The sequence below is a fragment of the Homo sapiens genome, chromosome 12 (assembly GCF_000001405.40).
Source record: "Homo sapiens chromosome 12, GRCh38.p14 Primary Assembly".
Lineage (NCBI taxonomy): Eukaryota > Metazoa > Chordata > Mammalia > Primates > Hominidae > Homo > Homo sapiens.
In genome coordinates this window covers 13,457,739-13,478,980 of record NC_000012.12, presented here as the reverse complement: position 1 = coordinate 13,478,980, position 21,242 = coordinate 13,457,739, and the positions used below count along the sequence as shown (strand labels likewise).

Here is a 21,242-nt window from a genome sequence, read left to right as displayed (position 1 = left end):
TAAATCTCTTTGACATGTTAGCTGATAACAGGGCATAAAATCTAAGCCTTCTGGGAGAATCTTGAATGTCAAAGGAATGGATATATTTATGGTGCTGGGACTTCCGTGATCACCATGTGGGTTTGACCCTCCAATCAATCACACCATGTGGGTGTCACCATTTTGCCTTCTTAGGATGCTCACCTGAACCTGTAACCTCATCTCCCTGAGACTCGGTTTATTGCTTTCTTTTCTCTAAATGTAGGGATCATTATATGCGGAGAGTAGCTCCTTTTCAAATCGTTGTGGGCCGTTTGTGCATCCTTGCAGAATACTTATGCAAGCCTTTTACTCATTTTTCTGGCAAATAGTTATTATAATGATTATTGATTTGTAGGGGTCTTTTAGGTATCTCGGAGATATAAAATATATTCTAAATATGTTATCCCACTTCTGTAATTTACGTTTTCTCTTAATAGTATTTTAGATAAATGAAAGTTCTTAATTTTTACTAATTCCTATTTATCATTTTCCCCTTTATGGTTGTGCTTTTTGTTCTCCATCTGATAAATTGTTCCTCGTGCCAAGATTTTGGAGGCATTTTCCTATGTCTTCTTCTAGATGCTCTGTAGTTTTTCCTTTTGTGTTTAGATCTGCAATTCACCAGGAATTGATTTTTGTGTATGGTGTAAGGTAGGGTAAAATTCATTTTTTACCATTTAGATATCCAATTAACTCAGCACCATTTACTAAAAGGGTTATCTTCTCACTGCACTTCATCATCTTTTTTGCAATACATCAAATGACCTCATATGTGTGGTCTATTTCTGGACTGTATTCTGTTCCATTTGTCTGTTTGTATACCCTTGTGTCAATACCACGGTGTCTTAATTACTGTTACTTTTTAATAAGCTTTCATATCAGTAATGTAATGGCTCCAGCTTCGTTCTTCTTCAAGAATGGCTTGCCTTTCCACATCCTTTTACATAGCCATGTAAATTTTAGAATCAGCTTACCCGTTTACACACATACACACAACCCTGATGGAATTCTGATTATTATTATTATGTTGAATTTATAGACCAATGTAGTAAGAAAATTTACATCTTTATAATATTTCAATATGTGAACATAGTGTATATCCCTTCGTTCATTTAGGTCTCTTAATTTACCTCAATAATGTTTTATAGTCCGAGGTATAGTGGAATTACATAATTTGGAAAGATTGTTTCATGGGTATTTTATGGGGTGTTTTGTTTGTTTCTTTTTTGAGATGGAGTCTCACTCTCTCACCCAGGCTGGAGTGCAGTGGCGCAATCTTGGCTCACTGCAACCTCCACCTCCCGGGTTCAAGTGATTCTCCTGCCTCAGCCTCCTGAGTAGCTGGGATTACAGGCACCCACCACCCCACCACTCTGTATTTTTGGTAGAGATGAGGTTTCACCATGTTGGCCAGGTTGGCATTTTATGGTTTTGATGGCTTTTAAATTTATTTTGGTTTTTAACCATTTATAATGGTTAAAAATATTTTAGCTAAAAAAATTGCAAAGATATAAAATATAAATCTTATCTTCATCATGAATCCAGCATTCTTGCTAGCTTTACTTATCAATGCAAACAGATTATCTGCATAGCTTTTGGATTTTCTACATAAGCTGTTTTATGCCACATGCAAATAATGATAGCTTTTTCTATTCCCTTTCGATCTTTATTTCTTTTTAAATCTTTGAGACAGGGTCTCGCTATGTTGTCCAGGTTGGTCTCGAACTCCTGGGCTCAAGCAATCCTCCAATCTCAGCCTCCCAAAGTACTGGGATTACAGACATGAGCCACCATACCTGGCTCCTTCTCAATCTTCATGCTTTCTTTTCTTGTCTTATTGTCCTAGCTGGGACCTGCAATGCAATGTTGACGATAAATGGGGATGGTGGTTGTTGCTGTTTATTTCCAGTGTCAGAGAACCTGGACAGAATTTCTAACCAATCATCTGCGATAAAGCAAGGCCTCCCCTCTTCTCAGGTCAATAAATCTGGTCTTTTAATATGCTTTGAAATTGGGGCTTGGGGGAGTTTGTGTCAGCAGAAACTGAAAGGGGAAAAAAACCTACAAAATAAATGTCAGAACTGCCATGCCTCTATGTGTCCACCTGCAGTACAATTGATGTGTCTATGTGCTGAGGTCTGTGGTGTTGGGAGAGCAGATGGAGTCTTATCACCAGGAAATAAGGACATGCCAGTCCACATAAGACCCTTAATCCCCAGCCCCAACTGGGGAAGAATCTGACTGGCTCAACCGAATTACCAAATCATAGGCTTGGGAAATACCTCATTCAATCTTCTACCCATGCCACGAGTCCCTGAGAATATCTTGAAGAGCCTGGAGTTGGAGGACAATTTTGGTTACCTTCACACCCAAGAGCACTTCTTCAGTAACATCCCACCAGCCCTTTCATGGCCCTGACTGGCCCCTTTCTGCAGTTTCTGACCCCACAGAGCTTCCTGCCCCCAACCGTTTAGCAAGATGGAGGTGGGTCTCACACCCCATTGGTACCTTCGCTGCTTCTGCGGGCACTCGCGGAGTTCTGAGTGGGCAGGCCATTAGTGAGCTGAGCCCTGTCCCTGGTTTTCAGTGAGCTCTGGAGGGACCCTCCTCCAGGCAGAGTGGGTGGTGAAGACCCAGTCTACCACAGGAAGAAAATCTAGATACTGGCAGAGCAACTTCTACTGGGCTCCCACTCTTCTGTCACTACTTCTTAGATGAACTGGAAGGTATCCAACCCTGATCTGCATTGCCTGCATTTCTCCAAGTCCTTGTTCTTTTTCCTGGTCAGATCCGGTGACTAGTTTATAGGGTGAGATGCTCCCACCCTGCCTCCGCTTCTCTCTGATTTTTCACTGTACTTACTCCCCAGGAGGGATGTCCACCAGCAGAACCCATATCTGACTCTACTGTACCCTTGGACTTAGTCTCCCGAGGACAGGAAAAGCAAAGTCCCAGGGCAGGGTCTGAGTTCTGTCACATGGGTACTATGTGGCACTGGCTCTGGGCAGCTCCATTATCTTCCCCAAGAGCCCACTGTTGGATTCAGAGAACAGAATCCTTTAGCCCGCACACTCCCTGTGGCAAGAAGCATAAGGAACATGATGCCAGAAGAAATCTTAGATCCCCTGTCAGTGAGAATGCTTCTTCTTGAAAGAAAAAGAGATTTAATGGGAATGACAGATCACAAGTTCACCCTCTCTGTTTTGTGCCTTGTTTCTCTTCTCTTACCTCCCTCAGCCCCACCTATGACTGCTTTCAATTTTTCGGACCCTGAAGGAGGAGAAAAAAGCAGTGACCCGCGGGACTGCAGAGAACAAGCAGCTACTCCGAGGGAGGGAGATGCAGCGGGGGGCTTTGCGTGAATGGAGAGGGGGGCTACACAGCGGGAGCCTCGGGAGGGTGGTGGAGCCAGCCTGGGCAGTGCCATGGGCCAGCTCCTCCCCATGCCTCATATGCATTCCTCACACTGCCACCGGGACTGAGGCATGAGCTGTGCATAATTAATTTTTATTGAAAGAGTTTTTTTGTCTGCAGACATTGTGTTCTGCTTTTACCATGACGATAAAGTCTCCAGTACAATTTTGGATTTAATTATAGCCCTATTTCGAGGGAATAAAAAAAACCTCCTATGTCAGAGGCACAGATAATTGGTGATGCCAGGTGGAATTGAGACATGGGTTCTGGGGCGCACAGCAGTGGCTTCCGGCTGATTCAGATCTCATGATCCATTCAGCTGGGCTTTGGTTGGGTTCTGGCCTCCCTCCCCTCTATTCCCATCGCCGGAACCAATGCGAAACTGGTGCCTGACAGGACAGAGACAGGACTAAGTCACGCATACAGACCAGCTCCTAACCCTTCTTCCCAACCCCTGCCACCACCCTGTATTCCAGTGACCTTAAGCCAGGCCAGGATTTTTCACGCTGGTGTTATTAGTAGATTCCTTAGGCCTGGAGGGGACCCTGGAATCTGTGTTTCAGACATGTTATCTGTGATTCTTGTGATGAGGCATGTTTGAGAAACCCTTCAGCAGGCAAAGGGGCTTGGTTTCTGTGGATGAGCCTGATCCTTCTGAATAAGTCACTGAAGTGAGGCTTAGGCAGCGGCAGATGAGATTGTAGGATTGGCTTTGGGCAGCTGGTCCCGGAATATGATATCTCATGGATAGGGACAGAGAAGAAAGTGGTGGAAAGGTAGGCAGGGAAGAGGGATCAGAAGGAAAAGGATGTTCTCCCAGGCAGCACTTGAAACCAGAAGAGGTTCAGGGTGGTCCCCATTAGGAGGGTGAGCAGCAGGCTGGACACAGAAGCAGGATAAAGAAATCATTTGATTGGCTAAAGCTAGGCATTTGCCATATTTGGATATGACTCGGTGGAAAGCCCCAACTTAGAGGTTAGTGGCAGTTTCTGATTGGTTATGCCTAAGTTTTGTTTTACTGTTTACATTGGGCTTCAGTTTGCCTGCACAGGAACCCAAGACACTGGAGCCATCTCAGCTGACTGGCCTCCCAGTTAAAAAACTTTTAACAGTGTTTAGAGCAAGAATCCTGGGCAGGCTATGCCAGGAAAGCATCATGGACCACAGCAGTGGAAACAGACTGCAGTTATAGGTGTGGCCCAGCTTTGGAAAACACAATATTCACATGGATGAACTCAGAACTTAGATGGTCAGAGGTTAAGAGGGGTTTCATGCTGTGGCACTTAGTGAACAATCTTAGACTATTTTAACTATTTCACATATATTTTGTCTTCTCAATGAATTTATAAGCAATTCCAGGATTGGACTCTACTATGTAAAGTTTCTTCAGTTATATTTTTCGTATATGACTAAGAAAGCTTGAGTTTAAAAAAGCGCATTACAAAAACAATTGGTTCAATGCTTAAGGACCAAAGAAATGCAGTGTCTTAATAAAATCCATTTTCCTGCAGGAATTTCAAAAGCAAAGCCTTTTTTATAGCTATAAGTGGGTAGCTATAAAATGCAAACATCACTGAGCAAATCCAGCTTCTGATTATATAGAGTTTTGCAAGGAGAAATGTCCTCCTTTTTCCTTTCGTCAGCCACATTCACCTTGACACAGGCTTCATGCATGTCCTTGTCACTGTGATTATCTGTGTTCTCCTCCAGCACCTTGCAGGACCAGCCCTAGGGCAGGTGCAACAGGTATCAGTCCATGTGGCACCATTTCTAGGATCCAGGAAATAGACTTCTTGCTCCTTAAAATAATCCTCCCCCATCTTCCTCCTCTCCCCAGAGAGTACCTAAAATTTCTTCTTGACAATGTGTTCTGTTCCTTACTTTGAGATAGAGCTTAACAAATAAAAACACCAAGAGAAGTAAGACATTGGCCCAGATTGAGAATAAAGAACAAACAGGTGATAGTTTTGTCACATAGGAAGGGGAAAGGTGACATGATAACCAGGCAGCCCAATCTATACCAATGTAGAGACTGTGCCTGGGATCCTTGGTCATCTCTGGGAATCATCTCTTTTCATACTATGTCCCTCACTTTGGTAAACTCATACTTAAAATCCAGCTTTTTATATTAAGTGCTGTCCCCTCATAGGTTTGAGTGCCCCTCCTCTGTGCTTTCTTTGGCTCCTGATGTTTGCAACATCCCATTGAACTAATTTTCCATGGCACATCTCCCCTAGCATAATGTGAGCTACACAGAAGCAGGCATTGGGCATCCTTCTTTATGTTTCCTGGCTCTAAGCACAGTGTCTTGTACACAGTGGGCACTTCATAACCTAAATTTAACAGTGGTACAATGGAATGAGTATGGACTTAGGAGTCAAGGGTATCTTTGACGGTCTCAGAATTTGCCAGATTTTTGACCTTGAGCAAGTAGTTCTGAGCCCTCATCTGTAAAAATGGGCATAATAAAATGAACTTGCGTGGTTGAAAAGATTTCATGAGATAATGCAGATGCTTCAGTCAGCACAGAAATTCACTACTTGTTTGTAATACGAAAGGGAAACCTATGGTGAAAGCTTACGATGAATCATCAGCCCTGAAAGGATGTGTGTTGTACACGCAGCTGTTTCTATAACCTCTGAAGCACATCTCTCCACATATGCTTGAGAAAGTAAAGAGACAAGGGAAAATGACTATCAGTCAAAAATCAGAAATGAGATTCAAATATGGCCATCTTGGGGGAAGTCTCAATTTTACCACATAAAAACCACCTTCCGATCTCCTTTTCTCTTCCCTCAGTAGTATCTTGGGTTGGGTTTCATCATTGCAGGTTTAAACAATCACTTGAGCTTCAAACTTAGATCTCAACATCTAATGTTGATTTTAACATCATTATTCCCTCCACTCTGCCCAGGAGATTTAGGTGAGATGAGATGAGGGAGGTTGAGGGATTCTACCCTGGTGCCTGGCATTTTTCATGTGCAATTCCAGGCAGCCCAATCTATACCAATGGAGGGGCAGAATCGAACCAGGGAACATGCCCACTCCACCTCTGTCTTTAAAGTCTAGCTCCTCCAGGGTTGTAGTGGGCTGGGGGCTCAGAAAGGAGGTAGTGGTGCCACAGATGGTGTTATAACTGACAAGTCGGTGGGAGGGCTGTCCTTGATGATTATTTGAAATGCTTGTGCTAAAACCCTGAATGTGTCTTCCACGCCAGTAATGCTTTTGGTACATGTGACAGGGTGGTAGTCCAGACAGAAGAAATAGCATATGCAAAGGCCCAGGAGAGACTACCTAGCTTTCAAGCAGACAAGAACTTGGGAATGGCCCGACAGGGACTTGGGTAATGGAAGTAAAGCAAGCAAAGGTCAGATCAGGAAAAAGTCCTTTCCTGCCAGGCAAAACAAGCTGGGTTTTACCCAGTGGATGATGGGGAAATGTTGAAGGACATTTAGGCAGACTCGTGGCATGTTGGGAAAATCTTCCAGGTAGAGCTTCACGGGTGGATTGGAGAGGACAAGGCTGGAGGGCAGGACACTCATTGTGAGGCTCAACTGAGGAGCTCAACTCCGGGCCCTTGCTGCGCACTCTGCCTCCCATGATGCTCTCTGCCAGGTATTCAAGGCCAAGGCCTCACCCACTAAGTTCCAGCTCATTTCCTCCTGCCCTGCTTCCTGGGTTCTCCTTTCCAAAGCTGCCCAAGTGCAGATGGGCTAGGGAAACTGTCAGACTCATTGCTCAAGGCAGCACTTGCTGCCAGTAGGAGAAAGGAGGCCTTCCTTTTATGGAAGGCCTGGGATTCTTCCTTGACAACAGCTCTTAGATCCTTGCTTAGTAACGGAAGATTCCCCCCTCCTGCCTTTCAAGTTCTCCCATCAGTGGCTCCCACGCAGGCCCCACCAACTCTCAGTCTGTGGATGGCACCCCCTGCTGAAGCTGAGGAAGAGACTCTCGGCCAGGTCTGAGGGCGCATTTGAGTTTCCCCGCCACACACACACACGTACTCATGCACAAGGAATGACCTTGACTTTGCCAATGGAGGGAAGTATATTTTGGCAGCCCAGGAAACTACACTCGACCCAGTATGATGAAAAGTAGTAGTCTAGTGACATTGGAGCCACACAAAACCATGCAGAATTAGGGAATACTAGATTCCCACTCTGCCTTGGAATTGGGCAGATTAACTTCTTTAAGCTTCAGTTTCCCAAACCGTAAAATACAAACAATCCCTACCTTTTGGGGTTGTTTTGAGAATTACTGTTTGTAATGTCCCTTACATAGAGATCTGTAATCAGTAAATAACTATTAATGTTATTAACAATCCTGTGCATTTCAACATTTGAGTCCTCCTAAGAATACTCCCTACCCCAGCTCCTGTTCTAAGAGCTTTTAATCAGTTTCATTTATTACACTTATTGAAACCCTACTAAGTTCAGAGCATGGTCATAAATAATTATAAGAGATAAATTATATAATAATCTTATCTTTGGATTGTTTGCAAAAGATGCAGAATGAAAATTTTGCTGAAGTGTTAGACTTTAATAATAGTAAGTAAAAAATAGTAAGTAAAAAAGAAGAAAGAAAAGAAGAAATGTATTGTTCAGCTTAATCCTAAGCCAGATATTCTCAATACTAATGCTCTGGTGATTTTTAAAAGTGTGTGTGCATGTGCCTCTGAATGCATATGTGAGAATGAAAGACAGGTTAAAATTATGAAATTGAACTGTGTGGTGTAGTGGGGAGAGCCCCACCTCCTTGGGACATAAGAAGACAATTACTGAACACAGAGCCTTGGACACACCTTCTCTGAAATGCTGGTCATAATCTCCTCTCAAATCACAGAAGAGTCACTGAATCAAATAAAACAGTCATAAATATTTCACAAAAGAAAACGTTAAATCTCTAGCAAAGGTGCTAAAGTAGTTGAACATAAGCCAAACCATGTATGGGTGAAGGCTGGAGGACTGGTATGTGAGATGAGGAAGGCATTTCCAGCTACAGAACTTGGCAAGTGGTCCCTCCTCCTGGCATATAGTAGGAGTTCAGAATTGACATCCCAAGGCTTTTATAGAGAGGAGGAGGGCAGAAGACATGGTTTATTTCCCGCAAGTCCATCCCTCCTCCAGTACTCAGTGACTGCTTCTTGCCATTTCTCCCCAGGTCTTCCCACCATGGTCTTTCTTCCTTGTCACTGGCATTGTCGATTACCTATAGCTTGACTCTGCAGGCTATAGGTAATGCCTGTTGGTCTTTGTTGCTTGTTGGTCTTCATCTCTTCCATCATCATCCTATACACTAGGACCTTTTAAAAAGTGGTGGCTACTCATTTCAAGCCCACAATCAGAGCTCTTATCCTTGGAGTCCTAGATTTTGTAACCCATCAGAATGTTATGACAATAATTTTTTTTAAATGATTGAGGGGCTACCATATTCCAGCCCTTTTCTAAGCACTATATATATATATATAAAACCTCATTTATACTCTATAACCATCTTGCAAGAGAAGTTCTATTATTATCCTTATTTTACTGATGAGGAAACAGGTATTAAGATTGAATAACTTACACAGTTAGTAACCAGAATACTCCAGTCTGACACCAAAGCCCATGCTCTTAACCACTCTATTCTACTGACTACGAACTTGGAACCAGGTGTGAAATTCCCTTTACCTGAAGGTTATCTTGAGGTCATTAGGGGAGATTCAGACAGTGCTCTGGAAAGATGAGATCAGTGGGAAAAGTAAACTGAATCTTCTTGGTTTCATATATAAGTAAGAGGACTGAAGTCAACTGGCATGGAAGACAGAGCGATGTCTTTGTGGGGACCATGGTAAAATGAGCACTGGACTGAACTAGCAGACAATCTTCTGTCACCAGCCTGCTGGGTGACCTTGGGCAGGACCACCCTCTGGGCCTTATTCTTACCTTCCGAAAAATACAAAGGAGTTGGGAAAGACTCTGTTATGATCTCACCCCTCCAATTAAACTAGAAAAGGATGTAATTTGGGGGATATCATTCTCAGGAAAACTATGCAGGCCCCTCCTCTTGGAGAAAGATCTTCAATAATTTCTTTTTCATTTCTTTGGCGTTTGGGTCCAAAACACAGAGTTGACAGTTGTCATTAACCATAAGAATATGGCAGACAGAGGATAAGGAAAAGGAAGAAAAATCTAGAAGCTTCTTTTTGCTGTTTTTTTTTTTTTTAACTTTTTCTTTTGGCAGCCAAATAACACATCTTGTCTTAGAGAGGCTTTCATGGTGTATAATTTAAGACCTATAAATAGATGGCTGTTATTAACAAACACACACACACACACACACACACACACACACATACACATACATTTTTCTCTCTATTCAGACATCAGCAGAAATATTACAGATAGGGATATGTGCAGTTTTAAATGGGAGGCACCTTTTTCTCTCCTCCACCAGCTGGAGGGCTGCATCTGTCTCTTCCTCCGCCTTTCCCTCTCAACTCTTTCTATTCTTCTGGGTTTTATTTCCATCTCTGTCCCCTCTGCTGCTCAACCCCACCCTCCACATTCTTGCTTTGATCTTTCTTTCAACTCTCCCCTCTAACTCTTTATGCCTTAGTCTTTTCCTCATTAATGATCAGTCCTCTTCCCTCTTTCCAAAGGCAGTTTTAAACCTTATTAGACTTCCCTAAAATTCCACAGGACACACAGGCATGGATACAATCACATTGGTAGAAAGAACTACACATTAAGAGTTAAACAGGTTCAAATAAAAAAGAAGCCAGGCCAAGAAATATGGAGCTGGTAATAAAATGTGTCTGACAGATGCTATTTATTACAGGAAAATTAAAAGGGGGTCAGACCTGGCATAAGTATGATGGATTCATTGATGATTATTAAAATGTACATTTATATAACAGAGAATCCAAAGAGCTCTTCAGTACATGATTTCAATTGATCCTCAAATCAATAAAGCAGAGGGCAGAGGAGACAATGAAGGTTAGGAGGCTTGATCCTCCCAAGATGCTACAGCCAGTGAATGGCAATCTAGGACCAACTCTTAGTTTTGTGCCACCCTCAGGAGGCATTAAGGCATGTGTCTTGTCACCATCTTAATATTTATCACACCAATTTATAAGGTCTGTTTACTTGTTTTTCTTCTCCCCTCTTCTATAAGTTCTTTGATTGCATCCCCAGAGCTAGGAAAATGCCCAACACAGGGAGGGGTAATAAATGTTTCTTCAATGAATTAACAAATGAAAAGAAGAATGCATGCATGTACCTTCCCCAAAAAGCCAACCTTAAACTAAGTGGTAGACAAGGTAAAGTTTGACGTGGGACACTTTTTATCGTTTCACACCATGTTTGCTTCTGGGGCACCTGCTTCAGCAGATCAGGATCCACATTCTCCATTCAACCATCATGGCCCCAATCTTTATTGCACCCACTCCTGTCCATCCAGACAATCTCAGCTCATTTATATCCCACCTCTAGCTGCATTCTGCCTGGTCTTATAATCTGGCACTGCCATGACTTCCCTCCTGCATATACTTTAAGCTTTCTAAGTAGCCATGTCTTATTCAGTTCCTTCATCTATTAATTTCAAGAGGATAACTAATACTCATTTAAGGTCTACTATATGCCAGATACTATCATAACCTCAGGAGAGTTACACTTTAATCTTTATTTTATTGATGAGGAAACTGAGTCTCCAAAAGCTTAATTTACAACTCCTCATAGGAGGTTAATACATATTTCTTTAATGCAGGAAGGAAAAATGATGCAAAGAGTAAGTGATTCAGAATTCAAAGTCAAGCTTTTCTAAATCCCAAACCCAAGATTTCTCCAGTAGATTAACCTCTTCCAATTCTAATTCCAGTTGGAATGTCCCTTCCAATTCTAAGACAACAGCAAGAACTTGTTAAATTGTCAATGAATTGAAAATCAATCCCTAGTCTCCAGGCACATGTAATCGTCATCATAATTCTTTGAAACTATTTTAATCTTTTCTTCTTAACAGCATAAGGAATAGTATACATATTGCTTATCACTGATGTGGCTTTATTTATACACAAGGGGACCTGTTATTAGTTCCATTTTTCAGGCTCAGGCATAAAATGCTATTTCCTTTGTGACCCCAGCTTACCAAGTAAGTGAGAGGTGGATCTGGGGATAAGAGGCTGATTCCCCTGACAGGATGCAAATACCCTGGTGCTTTCACTAGCCCAATAAGAAAGTTCTGGCATTCTCACTAGGTTTCTATTTTTTAACTTTAAAAAAGTACATTCAGGACGGGCGCAGTGGCTCACGCCTGTAATCCCAGCACTTTGTGAGGCTGAGGTGGGCAGATCACGAGGTCAAGAGATCAAGACCATCCTGGCTAACACGGTGAAACCCCGTCTCTACTAAAAATACAAAACATTAGCCAGGCATTGTGGCATGCGCCTGTAGTCCCAGCTACTCAGGAGGCTGAGGCAGGAGAATCACTCAAACCCAGGAGGTGGAGGTTGCAGTGAGCCAAGATCATGTTACTGCACTCCAGCCTGGGTGACAGAGCAAGACTCCATCTCAAAAAAAAAAAAAAAAAAAAATCATTATCATGTCTCTAAAAGGAGACCTGGGAACTGAAATGAAAGCTGTCAACACTGTTCTGTCACCTGGCACACTCCTAACTGATGCTTCTGCACACTGCCCATCGTGATCTAGAAGGATCCTGGATTTCTGTAAAGACATCTGAGCAGGCAAAGAAAGATTAAATCATTCTTTTTTCTTTTTTTTTGTAAGAACTATGCATTTATTCTCACTTCCCTGCCATTCTTGTTTTTCCTCCCTCAAACCCATGTAAATCCTGCTGGTGCTTCAAAGCCCTGGAATACCTTAACTACTCTGGAAAATCATCTCAGATCACAACTCTCTCCTTGATTGCTGTCTTGTCTGAATCCCAATTTCTTTCCTGGTCAGGGCTTTTTAATTGTTTCTCATGTTTTAAACTGTTTACCATACACACACACACACACACACACACACACACAGACATATATATGTGTGACGCCCAGGCTGGAGTGCAGTGGTGCGATTCGGCTCACTGCAACTTCCACCCCCTAAGTTTAAGGGATTCTCCTGCCTCAGCCCCCTGAGTATCTGGGATTATAGGCACCCACCACCATGCCCAGCTAATTTTTGTATTTTTAGTAGAGACAGGGTTTCATCATGTTGGCCAGGCTGGTCTCGAACCCCTGACCTCAGGTGGAGGTCCTTGACCTCCCAAAGTGCTGGGATTACAGGCATGAGCCACCACACCCAGCCAAGTTTTAAACATCTTAAGATACAGACCTAAGCACTAGAAATGCAGTAAGTGCATAGGAAATACATTTCAATTCCTTCAAAACCAGAAATATACAAGTTCTATATATGATAAACCTCTATTAATCTAAATTAACCAGAAAGGACTTTCTATTGCTCTAACTTCACAGATGTCAAAGACTTTCAGTCTCCTGCCAAGTGGGCTAGTGCATCTTTGGAAGCATGCACGGGGGACAGGAGGTCAAGCCCTGTGAGGACCTTGATCTGACACCAGGAGCAAGTGAATCCTGCTGGGACACTGGTGTCCATGTCTGCCCCCAGCAGCACACGGCTTCTAAAGCCATGAGAAAATGGGGCCAGAGGCTGACTCAGAGCTGCGACTATATTCAGTGTTGGGGCAGCACACGCTGAATTGCGTCACAGCAAATTTAGGCCTGTGCTGAACAAGTCAGGGAGCTCAGCACCTCCTCCTTCTCCACAGCCTGTCCATCGCCTGACATCTGGGCTACAGCCCATCTCCAGAGCTGTTCCTCAGTCTGGAAAAGGACATGCCCCTTGGACAATGGGTTCCCAGTAAAGGGGGTTATGAATGCTGTGAGCACCAAGGAAGGTGGTGTATTTGGAGACCGGGGCTTTGACAACATTTTCTTAAGGCTAGGACACATTTCGTGGGCTGGATTATTTTTCCCTTTTCTTCTTGTTCAGATTCTGTTGGACACCAGTGGCCGACAGCATTGCACAGTTACAAGCCTAAGCTGTCCTCTTGGGTTTTTGAATTTTAATGTGGGAAATTATGTATTTGCTAAAAATAACATTTTAATCAAATGTCCTCTAGAACCAAGCTCAGTGGGGCTGTAACATTACAAAAGAAAAGAAAGGGAAGTCAAGATCCAGAATTCAAAATCAGTGAGAACCTCCAGGTTTCTGCTTTTCAAAGCTGTAGGGAACCCCTGTCGCTATGTGTCTTACAACAAGACTATCAGATTGCAGCAGAGACTGCTTCTGACCCACTGTTTAGGAGAACAAAAACTTTCTTCGGATCTGTCCTTTCCAAACCCGGTTTTCAGGTGGAGGTAAATTTAACCACCAAGGACCAGCACTGATTAGCAAATTTATAGATAATTCCTACGTCTGTTCCCAAGATAATATGTTTTATTATTTTTGTTTTTTCTCTCTGCATGTGTGCAGTTCAATAGATAACTGCTGAGCCTAGAATAGTGAGCAATTATGCCTCTATTTACTCATCTGGTTTTTTCATAGCTGATTTTTAAAAACACTCTTTTGAAATGCTAAGAGGCTCTGAAATATTTAAGTAAACAGACTATTAGGCTGAGAACCTAAGTGTCAAACAATAAAGAAATAATGTAGCAATTTGCTATTTGGTAGACAGAATAGGGAGCTACATTGCAGGAGACAAAATATAAAAAATAAACTCTAATAAACTCTCTGCCTGAAAACAGAGCTAACCAAGAAGATCCTATAAAAGGACTGAGTTAGAACAATAAACAACAAAAACATAATTTCCTTCATTTGAGACAAGCTTTTCCATTGGAAACACCTTTCGCAGACACTAATCTCATTTCCATCCCATAATCACTGAGGCAGGCAGAGGTTATCATCCTCATTTTACAGGTGAGAAAATTGAGTCTCAGAGAGGTTCCATAGCTCGCCTAAGTTCACATAGCTAAGTAGTGATTGAACCAATGCTAAAACCACATCTTCTTACTTTAAACTCTTTACTATTTTCAGGAGACTGTGATGAAAGGAGAAGGCGTTACATAGCACTAGTCATCCTCTGTTTCCGGGTAAACCTGCGAGTGCATCTCCTGTGGCCTTTTTTCCTGCTGCCTCAGCCTGGATTACACTTACAGGATTATTATTACTGCTGTTGCTCTGTTGAGCAGGCCCTTATGAAAACCTTTCTGCTAAGGATGTCAAAGCAATTCTACCAAAGGAAAAATCCAGCCCTGAGAGGCTATAAACCACTTTATTCCAGTCCACCTAGTAATGCTACGAGAAGAGCAGAGTGTCTTCATCTTCCTCTGTCAGCCTTTAATAAATCCCAGACGAGGGGTCAGCAGTCCATGACAGAGATCTCCTGCTACTGCTGTGTATGGCATGTGTCAATCCTAGTCAAAACCCCTAGTCAGAGCTCTCTCCTCCTTAAACCAAATATTTGTGGAAAAGTTTAAAAATGGCAAAATGCTGTATAAATGTAAAGCATTATCAGCTTTATATTTTGTGGGCTCAACAGAAATACTTTTTATCTAACTTCCCCACATCCTGCCTTCTATGTCTGCCAGCTGAGCACCCATTTGGCTTATAGTAGGCACTCAGTAAAAATGTGTTAATATTAATACTGATTTGAACCCCTTAAGAATATCCCTTCCAGGAATATTCTCTGTGGCTCTTAAAGCTGTAAAGACCTTCTAGATTTAATTAACCCATCATTGCAGCATGCCAGGGATAGATGAGGTTCAAACAATAAACCTTCAACACAGGATAAAAGGTCAGCCTGCATATGCTAAAGAGCACTCCAGACATATAGACCTGTTGTTTCTAGCATGCACCTGCTATTTCTTGCTTATCCTCATGCGGTTCCCTTCTCCTGGACTATCCTTCACTACTCTGCCTGGCAATTGTCCTCTAAAACAGAGCTAAGGTGTCTTCTCTTCTGGGAAGACATCTCTGCCCTTAGACTAGCCTGCACCCTACTGTAATCATTGGTTTCCTCCTTCATCTTTTCTATGGGTGGTAAACTCTGAAGGCCTAAGTATTATTGCATTCTGCATCCCCAGTGCCTAGCACATGTTGCTGGCACACTAATGGTGCTCAGTTGATGTGTGTTAAGTGACCACTCGGGGCCAAGACTTGTTGCAAGAGAAGCTGGAACAATGAACAGAAAATTCCTTCTCAAGTCCTCTCCAAAAGTCTTAGACTCGGTGTCCTTGGCTCCCAGATGGACTGCTCTGGGTTTTGTTTTTTTTTTTCCATGTATTCTTCAAAGTTTACCCAGGCTACTCACAACTTCTGTGGATCAAGTATCTTCCACAGCCATCAGCAGATGGACACTGCCATCCAGGGATGATAATTTAATCTTCCCCTACCCTTTTAACAAAGTTATGATATATGGGTATATGTGCAAAAAAGTACACAAAACACATGCAGTTTAACAAATAAATAAAATACAGAGGACACCCACATGTCTACCAGCCAGGCCAAAAAGGAACCTTCACCATAGAAGGTCATGTATGTCCCTTTACTGATTACTACTTTACCATTTCCTCTCAGAGGTCACTACAACATTGACTTTTGTGATTGTCATTTCTTTGCTTTTTATGGTTTTACCACTCATGATGCAACTCTAAAGTCTTGTTCCCTGTTTTGGAAATATATATAAATGGAATCATTCTGTATTATTTGAATCTCGTTTCTTTCATTAGATACTGTGTTTGAGATTTGCATATACTGTGGAGCTGGGGCACTATTATTGCTGTACAGTATTTCATTGTGTGAATATACTACAAAGTATAATTCATCTATTCTGTTTATGGGTATCTAGATTGTATCAGTGCTAGAGTTATTACGAACAGTGCTGCAGTGCTGCCATGCACATGCTTGTAAAGGTTGACTGGTACACATATGCACAAAATTGCTAGGGCGTATACCCAGGATTATATTTCTGGGTGTGTATATTTAGAAGCAATATACTAAATAATGCCAAACTGATTTCCAAGTAGTTGCACCAACTTATACTCTCACCAGCAGTGGAGGAGCTTCCAATTTTCCACTACCTTTTCATGGTCAGACCTTACTGGCTTTTGCCCATGAAGTAAGTATGTAAGAAATCTCTTTATGACTATATTTGATTTACTGATTGATCTTATATTTAGTTCCATTTGCGTTTCCTTTTTGTACAGCATCTGTTTAAGCCTTTTACTCATTTGTCCCACTGAGTAAAATGGGAAAATTGGTTTGCCTTTTCCTTAGTGATTTGGAGGAATTCATTAAATGTTTCTGATACTACTCTGTTGTTTGTTATAGAAGCTAAAAATATTTTCTCCAACTCTGTGGTTTATTTTTTTTTCTGATGTCATATCTTTTGTAATTGATTTTTCTTCCACCCATAGTCTTTAATCCACTGAAACTGACTTTTGTAGTATATGGCATGAGGTAAAGCTCACAATTTTTTCCCATGTGGGTACCTAATTGCTTCAGTAATTTGTTGAATAATCCTTGCTTTTCCCACTAATCTTGACATATGATACAGCTAGTGAGTTCTACTTCAAGAGTATCTTGGATATTCTAACTTTTTGCATATTCATATAAATTTTAAAATCAGCCTGCCAAGTTAAACAAAAAATACAAATTCAAGAAGTTTTGTTTGGGTTTGTGTGGAACTTAGAATTCAAGTGACATTTTTACAAAAATCAACTATTCTGATTATAAACAGTATACAATCCACTTATTTTGTTTTCTTTTTTAATGTCTCAATAAGACTTTTAATTTTCTTGGGTGAAGCCTTAAACAGAAATATTTTGTTAGTTTTATTCCCAAGGATATCATCTTGTTTTATGCTATTATAAATGGTAGCACTTTCATTTCATTTTCAATTTCGTGCTTGATTATATGAATTAAATTTATTGTTTGAGTATTGAACGTGAATGCTAGAACCATGTCAAACTCTCAAATTAATTATAATAATTTTCCTATGAATTCCTTTGGATTTTCTACAGATCTCATCTATGAATAGTGGCAGTTACTCTTCCCCACTTTTCAATTCTCACACCTTTTATTTCTTTTTGTTATTTTACTGAGCCAGCAAGGAACTCCAGAACAAAATTGAATAGAAGGAACAATAGTGGGAATTCTTGTCTTGTTTCAAATTTCAAAAGTATTCTCAAAGTTTCAACATTAAACGTGATGTTTGCAATAAGACTGTAGTAGATACTATTCTATTCCTATTTTGGTAAGAGTTTTATAAATGAATGTTGACTTTTACCAAGTAATCTCCCTGAGTCTGTGATAATCACATCATTTTTCTTTTTTGTTAATGTGGTGAGTTGCATAAATTGCTTTTCCTAAGTCACACTAATCTTGCATTCCTAAGAAAAACCCAAATTAGTCATGATATATATATTTTTTATATATTCCTGATTTCAATTTACTAATTGTACTTTACATTTTATATTACATTCATGCATAAGATTGGGCTCTAATTTTTCTTTCTCATTTTGCCTTTGTTGAGTGTTACAATCAAAATTACATATAGCCTCATAAAACATAATGAAGTGCCCTATTATCCTGTTGTCTGAAGAAATGTGTATAAACTGGAAATATTTCTCCCTCAAACATTTATAGAACTTACTGATAAAATCATCTGGGCCTAGAGTGTTCTAGATAAGATTTTTTTCAATAATTAAAGAACAATTCAGGATTCTTATTTCTTCATGAATAAGATTTTGGCAAGTTACATTTTTCCAAGGATGTATATATTTCATATTTATTTTCAAACATATTGGCATTAAGTTTTTCATGTATCCTATTATCTTAATGTGTACTGTATCTGTACTAATGTTCACTTTTTCATTCCTAATATTATTTGTACATTTCTTCACCTTCTTGGTCAATTTCACCAGAGGTTTGTCAATTTTAGTCATAGTTTTAAAGAAATAAGTTTTGATTTTGTTTAATCTCTATTTTATATAATATTTTTCTATTTCATTAATTTATCTTGTTTCTTTTAATCTACGTTCTTCGGATTTATATTGCTTTGTTTTTCCTAATTTTGAAGTTGAAACTTCTCATCTTTTTTCCAATCCATGCCTTTGAGGCTATACATTTCCCTCTATCTCATGTTCTAACTGCATTCCACGGTTTTGTGGTAACTAGCTTGTAAAAATATTAAAAAGGAAAAGGAAAAAAGAAGGCCTGATTTGTAGCATGCCAATTTCATATTTGTCTTGTAAATACTCCACCATGACCAATTTCAAGCTACAAATGGTTTAACAACCAGTTGGAAAATTTTCTGAATATTTAACATTTAATATTGCAAGCTGATACAAACCAGCTCTAGCACACTCAAATTTTCAGTAGTATTTTCATGATTCCTTAATTCAAAATAGGTCCTAATAAACACTATACTTTGTTATCTGTCCACATGTCTTTAATTATTAAGAAGTGTGTTCAAATTTGCCATTTTATGGGAATATTCTAATTGTTAATTTCTTAATTGCTTTTATTAGAAATCATGCTTGATACAATTTCAATCCAGTAAAATTTATTGAGATTGACTCAAAGTCCAGAAATAATAGATTTTTATAAATATTATTTGTGTGCCTGAAAGAAATGTTTTCTGTAATTTTTTGGTACAATGTTCTATATCCATTCAATAGGTCAGATTTTTAATCTGGTTTAAATCTTCTGTGTCATTATTCTTTTTCTGCAAGATGTATCTATGACAGAAGTATATTAAAATCTCCTATTCTGTGCTCACTTCTGCAGCACATATACTAAAATTGGAACAACACAGAGAAGATTAGCATGGCCCTTGCACAAAGATGACATGCAAGTTCGTAAAGCATTTCATAGAATAAAAATCTTCTATTATGCTTTTTTCCTCATGCAATTCTTTGTTTATTTGGTTTTCGGGGACAGCATACCTTGTTCAATTCTGTAAATTTTTCTCATATATTACAAAGCTTTATTTTGTGTTCTTACATATCAAAGTTGTAATAATTGTGTTAATTAAAACATTTTCATTGTGAATTTATACTTCTCTAATAATGTTTAGAGTGTATTTTGTTTTATATTAGTGTATTCTTCTAAGATGTCTACTGATTACTATTTGCCGGCTGTATTTTTTCCATCCTTTTATATGTCACCTTTTTGTATCCTTACATTTTAGACACGTCTCTTGAAAATATTATACACAGGAATGTATGCGTGCGTATTTATAACTGCATATATACAAAAATATGAGTATTTATACAATATAGTACTCTCATGTTAATTTATTTTTATATGATGTCATGTGTATATGTATTTACTACAGCTTGAAAATCTTTGTGTTTTCTGGAGAACTTAATCCATTTAAAATTTTTAAATTTCTAATATTTGGGGGTTAAAATTTTATTTTGTTTTTATATTTGCCTTGCTTCTTTTATTACCTTCTTTTGGGTTTGTCTATTTTTATTATTTCTGTTTTCCTTCTGCTAGGGAGTTATACTGCTTGTATTATTTTAATATTTACCCTCAACATTGAAACATACATAATTTCTAAAATTTTAAACTTACACAATATATTTATGCTCATTACAGGTAGTATAAAGATCTTAAAACACTTAACTTCACTTTTCCCCAACTTATATTCTTATTGAATGTTTTGTTTTTTAATCTGATAAGACACAATTCTCAGGTTTCCAACTGACAAGTACACTTATATGGGCATACCTATGTATCATTTTGTCCTTCCTTTCTTCTTGCCTGAGAACATGTGTGTCATAAAGACTGGAAACCCAGGTCCAAGATGGTAAGACGGGATTTATAGTGGGCATCAGCAGCTTGGCCTGATGGAGCCAGGTTTGAGGGGATATCTAAGAGCTGATGGTCAAGCCATAGCAAGGGTCAAAAGTTAGGTGAGAAGAGAGTGGTCAGGCAAGTCTAGCCACGCAGGGAGCTGGATCTTAGGCAAGGAGCTGGAAACCAGGGATTTGGGCAAGACAGGACCCAGCAAGCTGTCCTGACTACAGATATGAGGCATCACAACCAGAACACCTGTATGTTGAGGCACCTCCCAGCACCATCAGGGAGCATCTTATGTTTCTTTTGCTGAGAGGGGCACAAGCCCACAGGTGTGGTCAGTAAGTCTGTCAGGGAGCTGGAGGCTGAAAGGAAATGGAGTCAAATAAGAACAGACCATATTGCAACCATTGACACTGTTCTGTTCAAAGTATTGATCTCCAGAGCATAGCTCAGTGCCCAACACTTAATAGGCACTCAATCAATGTATATTTGTTAACTTATTTACTGACCCATATTGAAAAATGGGAATATGCCAGGCTTCAGAATGATAAAAAACTTGAATTGGATATATTTTCTAATCTCCAAGTACTTATATCTAGGGGCTGAAGTCAATGTAACTAAAACATAAGGCATGGTATAGGTACTAACAAGAAGTTAAAATGGAGCCATTAGTGCTACCTGAGATTAACAGGATGGCTTCATGGAGAAGGTGGCAGGCTTGTTGGGAAGGTCAACTAGGGGGCATCTTCAGGACACAGATGGCCAAAGGGAACACTGCTATTATTCTGGACCTGTGCTTCCTGAGTTATTAGCACTGAGGTCAGGGCAAGGCCTTGCTCCATGGTGGACAGTATTTCTGGTGAAAACCTGGCCAACAGGGGAGACTCCTTCTACCCTGTCCCACCTCCCCACCACCAGCCAACTGGGAGTGCTGTTGTTTCTGCTTCTTGAAAGTTTCCTGCCCAAGATGTTGAATAGCAGCCATCTGGTGATGTGTGTCTC

General features: G+C 40.2%; 1 pseudogene, besides 2 other annotated features; it reads left to right on the top strand.

Moving 5' to 3' along the window:
• Positions 4,435-4,524: an enhancer, noted in NCBI's record as "active region_6036". NCBI's record gives its function as "activates an Ori minimal core promoter by ATAC-STARR-seq in GM12878 lymphoblastoid cells {active_cell/tissue: GM12878}" and the evidence as "EXISTENCE:reporter gene assay evidence [ECO:0000049][PMID:35858748]".
• Positions 5,884-6,043: an enhancer, noted in NCBI's record as "active region_6035". NCBI's record gives its function as "activates an Ori minimal core promoter by ATAC-STARR-seq in GM12878 lymphoblastoid cells {active_cell/tissue: GM12878}" and the evidence as "EXISTENCE:reporter gene assay evidence [ECO:0000049][PMID:35858748]".
• RNU6-590P (RNA, U6 small nuclear 590, pseudogene) lies at positions 19,205-19,311 on the top strand (annotated as a pseudogene).